This window comes from Homo sapiens, chromosome 15, assembly GCF_000001405.40.
Source record: "Homo sapiens chromosome 15, GRCh38.p14 Primary Assembly".
NCBI lineage: Eukaryota > Metazoa > Chordata > Mammalia > Primates > Hominidae > Homo > Homo sapiens.
Genome location: NC_000015.10, coordinates 63,631,757 through 63,650,180, shown reverse-complemented (window position 1 = coordinate 63,650,180; position 18,424 = coordinate 63,631,757). Strand labels below are relative to the sequence as shown.

Below are 18,424 nucleotides of genomic sequence, written 5' to 3'. Positions count from 1 at the left end.
TCCGCCCGTCTTGGCCTCCCAAAGTGCTAGGATTACAGGCATGAGCCACTGTGCCCGGCTGAAAAACTTTAATTTTATGATCATATATAGTATTATAAATGAAGGATCCTGCCTTCATGGTCTTATTCATTAGTAGGCTATTATGAAATTTGGAACTGCTTTGAGTGTGTATTAGAATTAAGTAGTATTTGTTTCTGTTCCTTTTTTTCTTTTTAAGAATTAAGTAAAAACTAGTTAACATTTTTTCCCTTTTAGGAGGAAAAGGATTAGTAGATATTCAGCCTCATTGGGTATCTGCCCTGGCTTGGCCAGAAGAGGGTCCGGCTACAGCCTGGTCAGGAGAGTCTCCAGAATTGTTGTTGGTGGGACGGATGGATGGATCTCTGGGACTGATTGAAGTTGTTGATGTGTCCACCATGCACCGTCGAGAATTGGAGCATTGCTATCGAAAGGATGGTAAATGACTGCACTTACGTCTAGCTGACGGAGTCTCCAACTTCCTTTCTAGACTTAGCTTTTTGGCATTTGCTTTTAAAAATACCAAGTGAATATTATCTTGGCTTTGTTTTCAAAATTTTCCAGTCATGTTTTAATTTTAATTAGTTACTGAATTGAAAGATATTTATCTCCTAGCCCCCACCACACATCTCTGTCAAAATGAGATTTAATAGTATTATAACATTAGTAATTCATCTTTTGTGTGGCTTAATATTTATAGCAGATTCCAAGTCTCCTTTGAAAGTTAGGACTGTCCAAGAGAAAAAAAGGTCATAATCATTGGTAGAGATGAAATTGTTTTTTTTGTGTGTGTTTTGTTTTGTTTTGTTTTGAGAAGGAGTCTCGCTCTGTCACCAGGCTGAAGTGCAGTGGCGCGATCTCGGCTCACTGCAACCTCTGACTCCCTGGTTCAAGCTATTCTCCTGCCTCAGCCTCCCAAGTAGCTGGGATTACAGGCACTCGCCACCACGCCCAGCTAATTTTTGTATTTTTAGTAGAGACAGGGTTTCACCATGTTGGCCAGGATGGTCTCGATCTCCTCACCTTGTGATCCGCCCACCTTGGCCTCCCAAAGTCCTGGGATTACAGGCGTGAGCCACCGTGCCTGGCCGAGATGAAATTGTCTTTTAAAAAATGAGTAAAATTGAAGTAATGGAGGAAGGGGAAGCAGGGAATTCCTGGTCTGACAAGAGAGATTAGGAAGTCTGCTTTCTTCTTACTGTGGTGTTCCTTTGAACGTGAATGCATCTCACAAGATTTTGTTGGTTGTCTGGGGGAAGTGGGGTAATTCAAAGTCATAGTGCCTGCTTACATGGTATTCCATTAACAGAAGAGGTTTGTTTTGTTTGTTTAAGAATAGGTAATACTTTCATAGGGTTCAAAAATTCAAGTTTTAAAAAGCATACAGTGAAAAGTCTTTCTCCTGTCTACTCAGTTCCCACACTCCCATTCTACCCTCACAGATACTGTTTTTACTTCTTTTGTAGTCTTTCAGTGTTACATATACTTGAAGAAACAAGTAGAAATATAGATTGTGAGAACAGAACATTTTGATAGAATATGGAAACATACTGAATAGGGAATATTAAATAAGCAAAAAAAGAGATGTAATTTTCTTTCTATGACTTGGGTTCTTTCACTTCTCAGTTTCATGGTAGATTTTGGTCCAAAAGGAAAGAACCTATGGTGACTTACAATCAGCAAAGGAATTTAATTTTTGTCTCTATTTTTCAACAACCACCTGAAAAAGAATGAAAGATTATAAAGTAGGTAGCCCTTGTCACAGATAAGCGACACTTTTAAAAAGTATGTTACATGGAATCCCCACTGTACGCCTACATTTTGTCTAAATGCATTAAAGAGCTATTTGGAAATTTACTTGCAATGGTTGCATTATCATTATTTGTTTCAAAGTCTCTGTCTTTTAAGTCAGACAATGACAAATAATTATCTTTTCCTTACTCTTTTGTTTTGATCATGTTAGTGTCTGTTACTTGCATTGCATGGTTCAGTGAAGACAGACCATTTGCAGTGGGATATTTTGATGGAAAACTGTTACTGGGAACAAAGGAACCACTTGAGAAAGGAGGCATTGTTCTAATTGATGCACATAAGGTAAATGCATCTTTAAAAAACGTAATTTTATGGGATACAAATATAATTTTGTTACATGCATAGATTACACAGTGGAGAAGTCAGAGATTTTAAGATATCCATCACCCAAATGACATACATTGTACCCATCAAGTAATCTCTCATAATCCATCCTCCTCCCAGCCCTCACCTTCCAAGTCTCCCTTGTCTATCATTCCACACTCTAGGCCCGTGTGTACACGTGAGTTCCCTTTTCACCACTTTCTTGCCAACATCTGTTGTTTTTTGTCTTTTTAATAATAACCACTTAAAAGTGAAAAAAATGTAATATTTGCCTTTCTGTGTCTGACTTATTTCACTTAAGATAATGGGCTTCAGTTCCAACCATGTTGCTTAAAATACCTGATTTCATTCTTTTTATGGCTGCATAGTATTCCATTGTTTATATATACCATGTTTTCGTTATCCAGTCATCCATTGATGGACACTTAGGTTGATTCCATATCTTTGCTATTGTGAATGGTGTTGTGATAAATGTATGAGTGCAGGCATCTTTTTGAGAAAATGAATTATTTTCCTTTGGGTAGATACTCAGTAGTGGGATTGCTGGATCAAATGGTAGTTCTGGTTTTTGTTCATTGAGAAATCCCCATACTGTTTTCTATAGAGTTTGTACTAATTTACATTCAAACCAACAGTGTTTAAGAGTTCCCTTTTCACCACTTTCTTGCCGACATCTGTTGTTTTTTGTCTTTTTAATAATAACCATCCTGACTGGGGTGAGATGATATCTCATTGTGTTTTTTTTTTTCTTTTAATGTAAATTTTTATTTTTTTAGACAGAGTCTAGCTTTTTCGCCCAGGCTGGAGTGCAGTGGCGCGATCTTGGCTCACTGCAATTTCCAACCCCCAGGTTCAAGCAATTCTTCTGCCTCAGTCTCCTGAGTAGCTGGGATTACAGGCACCCACCACCAAACTGGCTAATTTTTATATTTTTAGTAGAGACAGGGTTTCACCATGTTGGTCAGGCTGGTCTCGAACTCCTGACCTCAAGTGATCCACCTGCCTCAGCCTCCCAAAGTGCTGGGATTACAGGCGTGAGCCAACGTGCATGGCTCATTGTGGTTTGAATTTGCTTTTCTCTGATGATTAGTGATGTTGAGCATTTTTTCATATGCCTGTTGGCTATTTGTATATATTCTGGTAAAAGCATCTTTACCAGATAGTTGCTTTTTCTTGTTTTGTTTTGTTTTTGTTTTTGTTTGTTTGTTTGTTTTTTCCTGAGATGGAGTCATGCTCTGTCACCCAGCCTGGAGTACAGTGGCACGATCTCAGCTCACTGCAACCTCTGCTTCCCGGGTTCAAGCAATTTTCCTGCCTCAGCCTCCTGAGTAGCTGGGATTACAGGCGCCCGCCACCACTCCCGGCTAATTTTTTTTTTTTTGTATTTTTACTAGAGACGGGGTTTCACCATGCTGGCCAGGCTGGTCTCGAATTCCTGACTTCATGATCCGCCCACCTCGGCCTCCCAAAGTGTTTGGATTACGGGCGTGAGCCACGGTGCCCAGCCTTCTTGGTTTTTTTTTTTTTTAGCCTCTACTATTGCTTGATACTAGTTTCTTTTAAAATTTTTTTACATCAGTCACTTATGACTTAATGTTCTGTTGTTGCACAGAATCTTTGGACCATGGATATACATGGATAAGTCTATGTAAAAATAAATAAGCCATGAAAGAGTAAAGCTAAAACAGTGAATTATGAACACCCTGGTAATACCTCCTGTTCAAATGCTCCCAGTAATGTCAGAAATTCCGTTCATGAAGAATGATTTTTTTACCTTAAACAGAGGTTGCCAGTTCAGATATTTACAGGACCATCTAGGCAAGTAGCGTAAATGCATGAAACCAGGAGTTAGAAGATGTGGAAGAGGATTGAAAAATAAAAATAAAATCAGAAGAGCACAATGATCACAGCCATATAAACACAAAACATATCCCAGATTCTCATTAGTGTTTGCTATTGGGATGTAAGGGGTGCATTTTTTTAAGTCTCTTCTTTTTTATACTGTAATGATTATTAGTCAATAAGGATAACTCTTAATAAATACAAATGCTAATGAGAGATAACATATCCCTTTTGAGTCAGAATTTCATAATTCATTTATCCTGCTAACATTTGTTGAGCTTTAACTGCAGCAAATATATATAACACAGACTACATTAAAGGGTAAGTTGGTCTAGTGATTGGGAATGATATGGCAGTATCTGATTTGCATAAAATATTGATTTCAAAATAAATGAGTTATAGAAATATAGATGCTAAGAAATATAAGTTATGTATTACTGAATTTAAAGTATTTGTGAAGGAAACATTACTCTGATTTTTTTTCTCTTCCTTCCATTTTAAGGATACTCTTATTAGCATGAAGTGGGACCCTACAGGTCATATTCTTATGACATGTGCCAAAGAAGACAGTGTGAAACTCTGGGGCTCTATTTCGGGATGCTGGTGCTGTCTACATTCACTCTGCCATCCATCTATTGTAAATGGCATTGCTTGGTGCCGCCTTCCAGGGAAAGGATCCAAGTTGCAGTTACTGATGGCTACGTATGTTGTCAATTTGCATCTATACGTCTTAGTTTTTATATTGGTATAGACTGTTATCTGCATTAAGTGTGGCTTCTCAGTAGTCTTAAAGAGTTTATTGCCAGTTGCTATTCTTATAATGTGTAACATTATAAGATTACCTCAGAGAAAAGAAAGAGTAGTAGTTGTCCAGTGTGAAACTTGGTATGTAATCTCCTTATCTCTGGGTGTGATGTTGTTAGAATATTGGCCTCGGTTGTATTTCTTGTAAAAGATTGTATGTACTACAAATAAGTTTAAAAAATAATGCAGTGGTTCTATCAGATCTTAATTGATTGCAATTCGGAAATATTTTTACTTAATGCATATTGACATGTTTTGGTTTTATGTGATCAATTTTTTTAAGTGGCTGTCAGAGTGGCTTAGTATGTGTTTGGCGCATTCCTCAAGATACTACACAGACCAATGTGACTAGTGCAGAAGGATGGTGGGAGCAGGAATCAAATTGCCAGGTAACATTCTGGTGTTTTTGAAGACTGTCTGAAACTATGGAAAGTATATGACATCAGAGTCATTCTCCCTTGGTTACTAAAAAAGTCATTACTATATCCCAAAGGGCAAGATCCATTGGGAAATATAAGTAATTGTCATCCTGAATTAGCTTAATTTTTTATAAATCAGAGATACCATAATTGCTTGGTAAAATGAGATATTCTATACATATTAAGTGGTGACTGTTACTGTGATAGTGGATATAATTGATACTACAGATAGACGAGTCATAAGTTGTTAGTACATTAAAATAGAAACTCCATGGGAGCACATCCATCCAAAGAATCTCCAACTGATGCCAGAATCCTTGCTATGAAGAATGATTTATTTATATTAAACAGAAGTTACAAATGTATATATTTATAGAGAGCCCTCTAGGCGAGTAACATAAATTCATGAAGCTAGGGTTAGAAGGTTTGGAGAGGGTAAAAAGCAAAAACAGAAAAAAAAAACAAAGAAGCTTACATGCTTTATATAAAGGCACACAGCTGATTGTCAGTTTCTAGAATTAAGAGCCTGTTGTTACCAGATTGTTTTATTTTTTCTATAGATGCTAAGAATCCAATGTTTAAGTAAAATCTCCCAATATTAAACATTGGCACCTAACTTAAAATTGTTTAAAACACTGAGTGGCCAGTCAGATCGCATCTCTGAGCTACCAGTTTGTACATTCTGTTGCCTTCCTTTTGCTCATGATACCCTTGGAAGAAATACACTTTACATCATCTTTGGGTAGTGAATACATATAGTATTATGTTGTCATAACTAAAAGGAAGAAGGAGCTTAAGGATGGGGAGAAAGGGTGGAGAGGGAGGGAAGGAGTAGCCAACTCACTAATAGGAGAATATCACAGCAGTGGAGGTGGGAGTACTACAGATAGGTCTGGTTTACTCTTTGTGCTGGAGGGCAGCCCTATAGACAGGCCTTACCTATGTCACTTCTAAAGCTTGCAGAACAAATGTGTGACAGACAGAACCATTAGCCAACAAAAAGAGGAATCTATTTATATAGAGTCAGCATGTGCAGTTCACAAATGTTAGGGGATAAAAATGAAAATTACATGAAGTGAAAATTTAAAAATCAAAACACTGGTTAAAAAGTAGTCAGTATTTTCCTGTCTCTGAGGGATAATTAGAACTTTGAGATGTTATTTCTGTAGTTTGAAGAGTAGAAAACTAGTTTAGAAATATATTTTTTAAAAAAGATGAAAGCTTCAACAAAGGGAATCAGATTGATATTTTATTACTGATTCAGTCAAGCTTACTATCCTTTATGAGAGAAATTATCTCTCCCCCTTGCCAATTTTATTCTGAAATATAAAATTTCCAAGAGTGAATGATAAATCTTGAACTTATATAATTTATCTTTATTTTAATGCATGTTAAAAATAATGAATTTCAGGATGGATATAGGAAATCATCAGGAGCCAAGTGTGTTTATCAGCTGCGGGGACACATCACTCCTGTTCGGACTGTTGCCTTTAGTTCTGATGGGTTGGCCCTGGTGTCTGGTGGACTAGGTGGGCTCATGAACATTTGGTCTTTAAGGGTAAGAGCATAGATTTTATTTTTATGTTAAGGAATATTTTGACACTAACTTAAACACATGTGATAAAAATTAACCAATTGTAGAAACATTTTATATAGTAATCTCTTGAATACTGAGGAAACTTCTTTCAGAATCCTCTGCCCTTACATTTTTCTTACTGATGATAAGTGTTTTTAAAATCAGCTGTGTCCTAGAAAATTTTGTAGTAGGTATGTGATTGGACGTTGCTGAATTTAGCTAAAATGTAGACTTTAGAATATGTTTTTGTCAATGTGAAATAGAAATTTAAATGTAAATTATACCTACAGTTCAATGGTGTGTATTGGTAAATATATCTCATTTTAGGATGGCTCTGTCTTGCAAACTGTTGTGATAGGCTCTGGAGCTATTCAGACCACAGTATGGATTCCAGAAGTTGGAGTAGCTGCTTGCTCAAATAGATCAAAGGTAATATTGTAGTTATATCAAATGATAGGGTGTAAGCTTGTAAGGAACTTTAGAAATCATAGTCTAACCACCCCACTTTATGGAGGAGAAACCTGATGTCCAGAGGGATTACTACTTGTCCAAAACAGTGCAACTATTTAGTAGCAGAAGGAGAATTAGAACCTAAGTCTCCTGATTTATAGTCTAGTGTTTTTTCTACTACACCCCATACTTTGGTGACAGTGCTTAGATATTGAACAATTTCATTTCCATTGGAAGTGATAAAGTAGATTTTGACTTTCTGCCATGATTTTTGACAGTAGCACTAAACTATCTCAAGGCCAGGTGCAGTGGCTCATGCCTGTAATCCCAGCACTTTGGGGAGGCTGAGGTGGGCAGATTGCTCAAGGTCCTGAGTTCAAGACCAGCTTGGCCAACATGGTGAAACCCCATCTCTACTAAAAATACAAAAATTAGCCAGGCGTGGTGGCACATGCCTATAGTCTCAGCTACTTGGAAGGCTGAGGCGGGAGAATTGGTTGAACCCAGGAGGCAGAGGTTGCAGTGAGCCGAGACTGCGCCATTGTACTCCAACCTGGGTGACAGAGTGAGAGCCCATCCCAAAGGAAAAAAAAACTCTCTCAAACAATTTTTCCTTGAAAAGGAGAAGCATTGCAAAGACATTTAACTAAGTATACAAAATATATCTTGGCTTTCAAATTTAATATTCTAGTAAAACTGCTGGTCCCCTGCTGTGAAGTAATTCTATGATATAACATTATTCCCTACAGTATTATTTTTCATACCCTTAAAGATTAGAGCCGATGTGCTGATTTGATTTACATTTTATATGGTTAAATGATGTTAAAATAAGCTGTAAACCTTCATGAAAGGTTCTACTGCAAGTAAAATGTAGAATCAGACCCTAGGCAGTAGTGGCCTGTGTAGAATAAACCACAGAGCCAGAGTTAAAGCAGTGCTACCTCTTTTGCAGCTATCCTTGTAGTCATGTCAGACATGACTTTTGAAATATAGTAGATGCCTTATTCTGCAGGTTCTGAAGAAATAGTTAATTATTGACATTTTTTCCTTAAAAAGTACCAGCTAATCAGAGGTAGTTCACAAATTTTATTATTTCTCATTATTTTTTACTTAGACAAAATTTAGGATATTTTGAAGTTCCATAGGCATTAAAAGCATAGCCTTTTTGGATATAAAATATCCAAAAAGCAAAGATGTCCCAGTTACTAGAAGGAATTTCGCAGATTAAATGGTGATAGCATTATTTTTTATTTAAACAAATTTATTATGTGGCATGATTTATTTTCAACCAGGATGTTTTGGTCGTGAATTGTACAGCAGAATGGGCAGCTGCCAATCATGTTTTGGCAACCTGTAGGACAGCATTGAAACAGCAGGGTGTTCTGGGATTGAACATGGCTCCCTGCATGAGAGCATTTTTGGAGCGGCTCCCCATGATGCTTCAGGAGCAGTATGCCTATGAAAAGGTAACTCATTACACTCACTCCTAGAGATACACAGATACCTGGTGCTTTGGAATGTGATTATAGCCTTGAACTTATCCCTTAAAAGCATGAGGTCTGAGGATAATAAGTGGGGCTATTTGGGCAGAATCAAATGAAGGTAAGTCATGCCTAAAAGAGTTGTTCAGCAACCCTAAGCCTATTCTTGCTTTATTTTCACCAGAGTAAAATAAAGAAACAAACACCAAGTTTGTATTACTGCTTTTCAGATTATTTATTCACTCCAAAGCTTCTTAAAATACCTATGCAGCAGAATATCTTCCCTTTTCTGACCCACACATATATCTATTTTTATATGGCTTGGCCATTCCAAAGTTGAGGGATAGGGATGGATGCGGGTATCAGACTGAATATCGTCTCCACTTATTAGATAAATCTTTGTGGAAAATTTAGTGGAAGAGCTATGTTGAATTGAGTAGGGTCATTAAATACTGGAATGAGGAATTGCAGCGTTTGAACTTGTCCAGACAGTGATCCTAAAGTAGCCTGTCTTCCAGCTTTTTGCTTTTCCTTTGATGGCTACCAGGATTCTCTTATAAAGGAGGAAAGTGAGAAGAGCAGATCTCTGTGGTTAAATAGTTACCTGCTTTTTTTTCCAATCAAGAAAAACCATGATGAAAATGTACTATATGCAGTGTGATAGCTTAGATTGGATCCTGGAGCAGAAAAGGAGTATTAATGGGAAAACTGAGGAAAACCAAATAAAGTTCTGTGGTTTAGTTAGTATTGTACCAATGTTAGTTTGTTAGTTTTGATAAATGTGCCAGGGTTGTATAAGATGTTAACATTGGATAAAGTTGGGCGAAGGGTATACAGAAATCCTCGGTACTATCTGTACAACTCACTCTAAATCTAAAATTATTTCCTAGCAAAAAGCTTAAACAGTAAACTTGAAAAATATGATTCCAGACTTTCAGACTACGGTAGGTTAATTTAGAATATTTGGCACAAACTCTTTGACATATTATATCCTTGTATTTTGTTTTAGCCTCATGTGGTTTGTGGTGACCAACTTGTTCATAGCCCCTATATGCAATGCTTGGCTTCCCTTGCTGTGGGACTTCATCTGGATCAGCTGTTGTGTAACCCTCCAGTGCCACCACACCACCAGAACTGTCTCCCTGACCCTGCATCCTGGAATCCAAATGAATGGGCCTGGTTAGAATGTTTCTCAACCACTATAAAAGCTGCCGAAGCCCTGACCAATGGAGCCCAGTTTCCAGAATCTTTTACCGTTCCAGATCTAGAACCTGTTCCAGAGGATGAACTTGTATTTCTAATGGTAAATGTACTGTGAGCTGCTATTATTTGCAGCTGAGATTTTATCATGGGTATTGGGCATGTAGCAGACCCCTAATAAGTCTTTGCTGGTATGCATGGCTAGAAGGATACCCTTAAGAGAAATGGAAAATATTTTTCTTTCAGATAGTCACTTTCAATCTGATGGCAGGCCTCCATAGTGACAGGAATTGATAATGTAAGCACTGTTGAACTCTTGTAAACCTGCCACCTCTCAATGACATAGTCCCATATTTTCTCATTTTCTTTTGTCCATAGGTACTTTGTTAGTGCTTTAGTTGTATATATCTTAGCATCTTTTCCTGGTCATCTTGTGGGTTATATGCCACATATAGATTCTAATTTATTTGGCATTTCAATCATGTCTTTAATTAGCATCAAATAAAATATAGAAGAGCATTCTAATTGTCATTTCATTCTGTTTGTATTTGAGAGTGTCTACTCTAGAAACTGTGACATAGATAAAATACCTGTTTAGACTACAGGACAGCACATGATCTAACAACCTCTTTGTATACTTAAGATTTATGTATACAAACATTTGGATAAACATTGATACAATATGAAACAGACAAATATAAATTAAGTAAAATTATGTAACTGTAGCTATGCATCACTTAATGATGGGGATATGTTCTGAGAAATGCATTGTTAGGCAATCTTGACGCTGGGAATATCATAGAGTGTATAGTACTTACACAAACCTAGATGATACAGCCTACTTGCAACAAGACTATACGGTATAGTCTGATTACTCCTAGGCTACAAACCTGTACAGAATATGACTGTATTCAATGCTCTAGGCATTTGTAACAGTGATAAGTATTTGTGTATGTAAACATAGAAGATATAATAAAAATAAGGTTTTATAATCTTAAGAGACCATCTTCACACATGCAGTTTGTTGTTGACTGAAATGTCACGTGGCACAAAAGTATACAATATTTTAATCAGAAAATGTCCTTCTAAGCCCATTTGGCCCAACTCTGTAATTTTGTAGATGAGGAAGCTGAAGCCCAGAAAGATGAAGTAATTTGCCCACAGCTACACAAAGAGTTTACAGGGGTGTGGGGTCCTCCACATGACCTTGTACCTGTGGGTGTTCAGAAAACACATGGCTAGCTTTGAATCACCAATGCCATAGTGATAGTGATAGTGAAAGTGTTTATAATAAAGGGAAATACTGACAGTGCATAAAATCAAGTTTGACATAATTATAAAACTGCTCTTAATTTATCATAATATTACCATATTCTTTTTTGGAAATAAGACTTAATGATTAGAAGAGGACTTTGTGGTTAAGAGCAGGTGCATCTTGCCTAAGCAGAATTGATCATTATGTACCCCCTGTTTTTCAGGATAACAGTAAATGGATTAACGGCATGGATGAACAAATTATGTCTTGGGCAACTTCCAGACCTGAGGTCAGTAAAGATGAAGATAACTGTATGATGGTTCTCAGTCAATGTTTTGATTCTAAATGCTTGTGTGTTTGTGCCCTGGTGTCTCCCATACAGGCTGGCACACACTTGGTACGTAGTACATGGCTGTTTGAGTGAATGGATGACTCTAATTTTGAGATGATTGTGGTTTTCTAGGACTGGCACCTGGGAGGTAAATGTGATGTCTACTTATGGGGTGCTGGTAGGCATGGACAGCTGGCAGAAGCTGGAAGAAATGTAATGGTACCTGCAGCAGCTCCCTCATTCTCACAGGCCCAACAGGTAACTAACAGGATAAAAAATAGAAAAGAAACATGGGAACTGAAAATTCTAATTCTTTTGCTTGTCTTATTGTGGGATAAAGCTTGTCCATTTCATAATCTATTATGAGGAATCATTAAAGAAAGTCATGATATATAGCTTTCAAATAAAAACTTGGTGTGGTTTTTATCAGACTTAAGAAGTTAACAAATTTCTAAATTTTTCTTTCAAGTTTAATGAACTAACATCATGATGTGTTAGGCCTGCCCAGTATGTATTTCTAGCAGTTTAGATACTCCTAATTAGTGATTTTCTCTTTGGGGCTAAAAACTTCCTAGGATCTTTAGCCAGATTTTATCGACCACTCCCCTTTTCTAATAATCCTGGTACGATATAGCGCCAAACCCTTCTCGAGGCCTCTGCTTTCTCTTTTGCTCTTCTTTACCTCAGCTAGTCCAGATTGCATGACTCATTCTTATGTACGAGTTTCTGCTTCTTTCTAGCCCAGTCTTTAATGTTTCCCCATCACCCCTTCCTTTTTCTTTCATCCATTTTGTTGTTCTAAACTATTTTAAATGGATGAATCTCATACATCTCTTGGTTAAATAAGCAGTTTTATAGTCATCAAGGAGTTACGGGACTGCATAGTTATATCAACTCTTCCCTTTCAGTAAAAGGATAAAACAATTATAAAAGCATTCTATGTATACGTGGAATCATTTCAAGTGCTTGCATGTTAAAGCAATATAATAAAGAATAAAATATTTAATTCTGTGTTTTTATACTAGGTCATTTGTGGTCAGAATTGTACCTTTGTCATCCAGGCCAATGGCACAGTGTTGGCTTGTGGGGAAGGAAGTTATGGCAGATTAGGACAAGGAAATTCAGATGACCTTCATGTGCTGACAGTTATTTCAGCCTTACAAGGTAAAATTGTCCTTAATAAAAAGATGGTTAGAACCTAAGGCCTAATGTAGGTTTGGTCGTACAAACCTTTGCCCTTCTCAAACCTTTGCTAGATAAAATCATATCAGGTTTTCACTTACATTTAAATCCTTATTTAGGCATGTGTGCAGCCTTAATTTCCATATTTTAAGCTATATTGCAGGTTACTTATAGCAATGCTAGAATTCAGTGAAATATAAATAACACTTTTTGAGACCCACTGAAGATTGTAAACAAATGCTTAAAAATTGCAAAAGTGTAAGTAGGCAGATGTTAATAGCAGTAGCAATCATGCATGTATTTCATTAAAATTAAAAATCAGTTTATATGGAAATCTGCAAATGTGCTAAAGACTTTAAAGGACATCTTCATCAGAGTTCTTTGTGACTTGGAGAGAGAACACCTTTGGAGAAACCACTGTACAAGCCCCCGGCTTGCTCATTAACTGAACTCATAATGACTCTGAAGCCTACAAAGAGAGCACCGACGGTTTTTTTAGGTAAAAGCATACAAGTAACTATGAGTTCAAAACAAGTTCCTAGAAGCTCAGGTTCTTTTCATTGTGATCTGAGTGTGAAGAGCACAGCAGTAAAGATGAGAATGTGTGCTGGGTTCCTATGGGTTCTACTGGTCCTTGGCTCTGGGACATTGCACAAGCTTCGAGACCTCTTTGTGACTCAGTTTTCCCACTTGTAAAAATGGGATGTTAGTATCTGTTTCATAGGTGCTATGTGAAAGTAGAAAATGAGATAATCCATGTAAAGCATTTATAGGAGTGGCTAGAGCATAGCCAGTCATTAATGACTGTAACTATTGCTGTCATCCTCGTTTTCCTTGTCATCACCATTATTTTAGGTGACTATTCGCAGTTTTGCTAGGTTATGGCTACAAATTCAATTTAAAACTAAAGAAATTAGGCCGGTTACTGTGGCTCATGCCTGTAAACCCAGCGCTTTGGGAGGCCGAGGTGGGCGGATCACTTGAGGTCAGGAGTTCATGACCAGCCTGGCCAGCATGGTAAAACCCTGTCTCTGTTAAAAATACAAAAATTAGCCAGATATGGTGGCACATGCCTGTAATCCCAGCTACTCAGGAGGCTGAGGCAAGAGAATCACTTGAACCGGGGAGGTGGAGGTTGCAGTGAGCCGAGATCACACCACTGCACTCCAGCCTGGATGACAGAGTGAGACTCCATCTAAAAAAAAAAAAAAAACTAATGAAATTATTCTTATTTTCATAGTACCAATTCGGTGGTTTTTGATTGAGGGTATTCAGTAGCAGCTGCAAGTAAAGAGGAGAGTTTTAACATCCAGTGACTCCTGTTGGGTTTCTGTTCTGTTCCAGGCTTTGTGGTGACCCAGCTGGTGACTTCCTGTGGTTCTGATGGGCACTCTATGGCCCTAACTGAAAGTGGTGAGGTCTTTAGCTGGGGAGATGGTGACTATGGTAAACTTGGCCATGGGAACAGCGACAGGCAGCGGCGGCCCAGGCAGATCGAGGCCTTACAAGGAGAAGAAGTGGTGCAGGTCAGGCAGGAAATGGATAAGTTTGCCTTTCATTGTAAATATACTAGTTGTTGAATAGGTTTCTTAAAATTAGGTAACAGAAAATATAGTAAAAATATATTACACAGTAATTATAAGAGATCCATTGGTTTTGGATGTTCAGATTCATTCTTGAGCTTGTCAGAAGTTTGAATAGGCTTTGGTGTTAGTATTGGTCTTGTTAGTATTGGTTAGAATGGTCTTTTTCGTGAGCCAGCTGGTTGGCCCAGACTAGGGTGCTGCACGCCCTTGGAAGGAATATTGTGTGGTTTAACTTCTGCCACACAGTTCTTAATACACAGATAAAAGGAAAACTTTGCTTTTAACCTATCATTTATGTTACAAAAGCTAAGTTAACATGCATTTTCTGGAAAATAGTGTTCTAAAATCATATTGTAAGATTGTATAGCACCTTATAGTTTACAAACAATTTCCCCATTTATTATCTCATTTAGTCTAGGTCATGTGTACACAGCTGAAGAGTAGCAGTAGTTACTCCAGGGTATGCTGTTCAGCTTGGGCTTCCTGAGGCTGTTGAGACAGATCAGACTTGGGAGAGCAGGAGAGCAACTTGGGCAGATAAATGTACCAGTTGGCCAGATGCAGTGGCTTATGCCTGTAATCCTAACACTTTGGGAGGCCAAGGCAAGAGGATTGCTTGAGGCCAGGAGTTTGAGACCAGCCTAGACAACATAGCAAGACCCTGTCTCTACAAAAAATAGAAATAAATAGCCAGGTGTGGTAGCACATGCCTGTAGTCCCAGCTACTTGGGAGGCTGAGGTGGGAGGATTGCTTGAGCCCAGGAGTTTGGGGCTGCAGTGAGCTGTGATCACACCACTGCACTCCAGCCTAGGTGACAGAGCAAGACACTGTCTCTTTAAAATTTAAAAAAAAATTAAAAAAAAAAATTTTTAAAAGCATTGGTCTTTGAAGATCCAGTTTTCAGTGAAGTTTATGTAAAGTTTATTGCTATATTAATACCAAAAATGGCAGATTTACTTTTTTCTTAGTTTCCCTTCTTAAAAATTTTCTTTCTCCTTGGTTCTGTCTTAGATGTCTTGTGGCTTCAAGCACTCAGCAGTGGTCACTTCAGATGGCAAACTGTTCACCTTTGGGAATGGTGACTATGGTCGTCTGGGTCTTGGAAATACCTCTAACAAAAAACTTCCAGAGAGAGTGACTGCACTGGAGGGATATCAGATTGGACAGGCATGGAATAAATCAATAAGATATTCTAGCTGATCATTGTTTCTCATTTCTTCTGTGTTCGCTTAGACACCCTCAGGAAGATCAGGATCACCAGTTGTACCTAACCTCATGTACATTTTGCTATGGTCTAATTGATAATTTTAACTGTTTCCCAATGTGAAATTCATATTTTAAGTCAATTTAAGTTTGTTTATGTGACAAACCAACAAATGTAACCCTTATTTCAGGACGTGAATATTTTTAAAGCCCCCTCCATAACATACTAATACCACTTGCTATTAAACCCTTAAAAAATACAGATACTAGTAGCTCCTGTCTGGTATCCTTGAGTTGTATGGCTGAATTGCAACATCACTGGTAGCTACTGCTCCTAAGTAGTAATTATCTCTGTCTTGTATACATCAAGAGTGTCCTTTAACAAGGAAATATTTTTGGCTTTTTCTATATCATTCCTTAGATACTTTTTGATATGAATGAATATTTTTGGGTCATGTATACTTTTCCTCTATCTTTCATACTGATTATGGTTTAGCCACAGACATTTGAAGGATTTCACTTTGAAGAAAAAAGTTATATATGGACATTAAGAATTATTTCTTGTTGACTTACTTTGGTTAACATTTGTAGTATGCTCTGAAACCATTGTAGATATTTGGAAACATAGCCAAGTTTTTCACTGAAGTAGAGAAAAAGGGTCCCAGAAACGGGGGAGTGTGTTTTAGGTCTTGTGATTTGCCTTACGGAATGCTGTTATTTCTTTAGGTGGCCTGTGGATTAAACCACACTTTGGCAGTGTCAGCAGATGGTTCCATGGTGTGGGCTTTTGGAGATGGAGACTATGGAAAACTAGGCTTAGGAAATTCCACTGCAAAATCTTCACCTCAGGTCAGTACTGCCTTGAGTCTAGGTTTTCAGACAACATAAATAGTTTTCATCTATGTCAGTAGTTATTATTAGTTGGAAATAATTTACCTTTAGTACTTTTGGTAGTTCATAATGAAGTTTAGAAGCTTCTGTTGTGCATTCTTGAATGCCCACATGCTAGGTCTTGATTTTAAATAAGCTATTAATCCAGCTAAACTGGATTTAAAATTCTGCAAGGATAAGCTTCTGTCTCCAAAAATGGGTTTCACACTGTAGGACCTCTGATGTAGGGAAGAAATAGTTAGAAACATATCTCCAGGATGTCATGGAAGGAACTATGAGTAATCCTTTGTAACCCTCTGCATGCAGCTGCCATTTCTGCTTATTATTACCACTGAATTAACACAGGTACACGTCTCCTTTTAAGAAAACAATACAAAGGAAATCTGAGTCCATGAAGAAAGAAATTAGAAGCTGTTATTCATACTATAGAAGATTTCTTGACTCTACAGAAGTCCTTCTATGTGATTGTTTTATGTGGGTTTTCCTGACGTATTTCACAAGCAGTGTGATTTACAAAGCTTCAGCTTATATTCAGATTCACCACCATTTATAGTCTGTGACATCCTGATAGCTAGACTAGTGAATATTAAGCTACGTATGCAGAGAGGCAGGAAAACTGACTCTGGGGAACATATAAAGCAGTTATTGTCGCCCATAAAAGCTAAAATGTTAAACTAACATGGTCTTCTAGTGTTCTTTAAAAGGTCCTGGAATTCTCCCTGGTCTCTATTACCCAGAGGAATGCTTCTGCTTCACACAGGGCCCTGGGGACTTTAGTCAAACTGCCTCTGCCCCTGCACACTCCCTCCCTGAAATTCAGTTAGTTTGCAGAACAGTAGGAGAAAATAACATTTCAGGTTTGGATTTGGGTCGAACAGGTAAGTGACAATTAGTATTTTTGTTGGAAGGTAGTTCTTGATACATGCCATTAGGCAAATTCAAGAGTGATTTTTTTTCTTCTTAAAGTTGTGTGCCTTACACTTTTATTTTGTAGAAAATTGACGTCCTTTGTGGAATTGGAATAAAAAAGGTTGCTTGTGGAACTCAGTTTTCTGTTGCTTTGACCAAAGATGGTCATGTGTATACCTTTGGTCAAGGTAAGACATTTTTCAGCTTATTTGCTTGGGTACACATCATTATAAACATTGGCCTTCCAGTGTTACAGAATGTGCTCTAAATTGAGTCCTTTTTTTGTTCTAGGTGGTGAGTAGTCACTATGACCTCCTTTCAGTATAGATAATTTTCCACTTCTCTTTCATGTGCTTTATTATAAAGACAAACTCCCCTCCCCATTAAGACCCCTTATGCCAGAGCCAGCACTCTTGCTAGAAGAGTCCCTGCCAAGGGCCGTCCCCTCTTCTTTTCTACTGCCCTTGACATGCTGCCACAAATACTGCCTTGACCATCAGAGCTCCTCTGTGTCCTGCCTCATTCTTCATCCCTTCTAGGGACTGGGGCTGCAGATCTTAGGAACTGGAGGAATTCATAGGCACTCTGGGTTCAAATCTTGAGTAGGTTCGTAACCCAGGCATTCACAGTAGGACTGAGATTCTTGGCAAGGGTAGTTGTTTAGGGATATGTGAGACAGGTGTGAGGAAGAGGAAGTAAACCATGACTGAAGTTTCTAGTTGTGGGAGAACATCGATGCCTCTGACTGAGGACATGAGCTGGTTTGTGGGGAAGGGTAAGGAATTTAGTTTTAGTTATGTTGAATGGACCCATTTGCCCTAAATAAATGTGTGGAAATGTCCACTAGGCTATTGAGAATTTAGATCTGGAACTCCAGAAGGATTGATTATGAAGATGTAGGTTTAGGACATTAGCTGCATAATGATAGTAGTTAAATCCTTATTCGTATCATCTAAAAAACCCAGAGAGAGAGAGTATAGAATGAGAAAAGAAGAAAATAGAGCTCTGGGGCATGTGATGTAAAGGGCAGGTGGGCACAGGAATAAGACTTGGGAGGGCCGGGCGCCGTGGCTCACACCTGTAATCCCAGCATTTTGGGAGGCCGAGGCGGGTGGATCACCTAAAGTCAAGAGTTTGAGA

The 18,424-nt window shown here is 38.0% G+C and overlaps 1 protein-coding gene across 50 annotated transcripts in view; it reads left to right on the top strand.

Moving 5' to 3' along the window:
• The window catches only part of HERC1 (HECT and RLD domain containing E3 ubiquitin protein ligase family member 1), a 225,331-nt gene that overhangs the window by 183,768 nt on the left and 23,139 nt on the right, over positions 1-18,424 (top strand). For all 50 annotated transcript variants that reach the window (XM_047433260.1, XM_047433247.1, XM_047433234.1 and 47 more), the window contains 15 exons: positions 256-456; positions 1,982-2,112; positions 4,499-4,698; positions 5,084-5,189; positions 6,631-6,777; positions 7,123-7,224; positions 8,538-8,711; positions 9,736-10,029; positions 11,405-11,470; positions 11,645-11,770; positions 12,538-12,676; positions 14,039-14,220; positions 15,293-15,448; positions 16,211-16,333; positions 17,370-17,472. In XM_047433260.1, the coding sequence (XP_047289216.1) occupies positions 256-456; positions 1,982-2,112; positions 4,499-4,698; positions 5,084-5,189; positions 6,631-6,777; positions 7,123-7,224; positions 8,538-8,711; positions 9,736-10,029; positions 11,405-11,470; positions 11,645-11,770; positions 12,538-12,676; positions 14,039-14,220; positions 15,293-15,448; positions 16,211-16,333; positions 17,370-17,472 (2,250 nt within the window). The remainder of the gene's footprint in view (positions 1-255; positions 457-1,981; positions 2,113-4,498; positions 4,699-5,083; positions 5,190-6,630; positions 6,778-7,122; positions 7,225-8,537; positions 8,712-9,735; positions 10,030-11,404; positions 11,471-11,644; positions 11,771-12,537; positions 12,677-14,038; positions 14,221-15,292; positions 15,449-16,210; positions 16,334-17,369; positions 17,473-18,424) is intronic.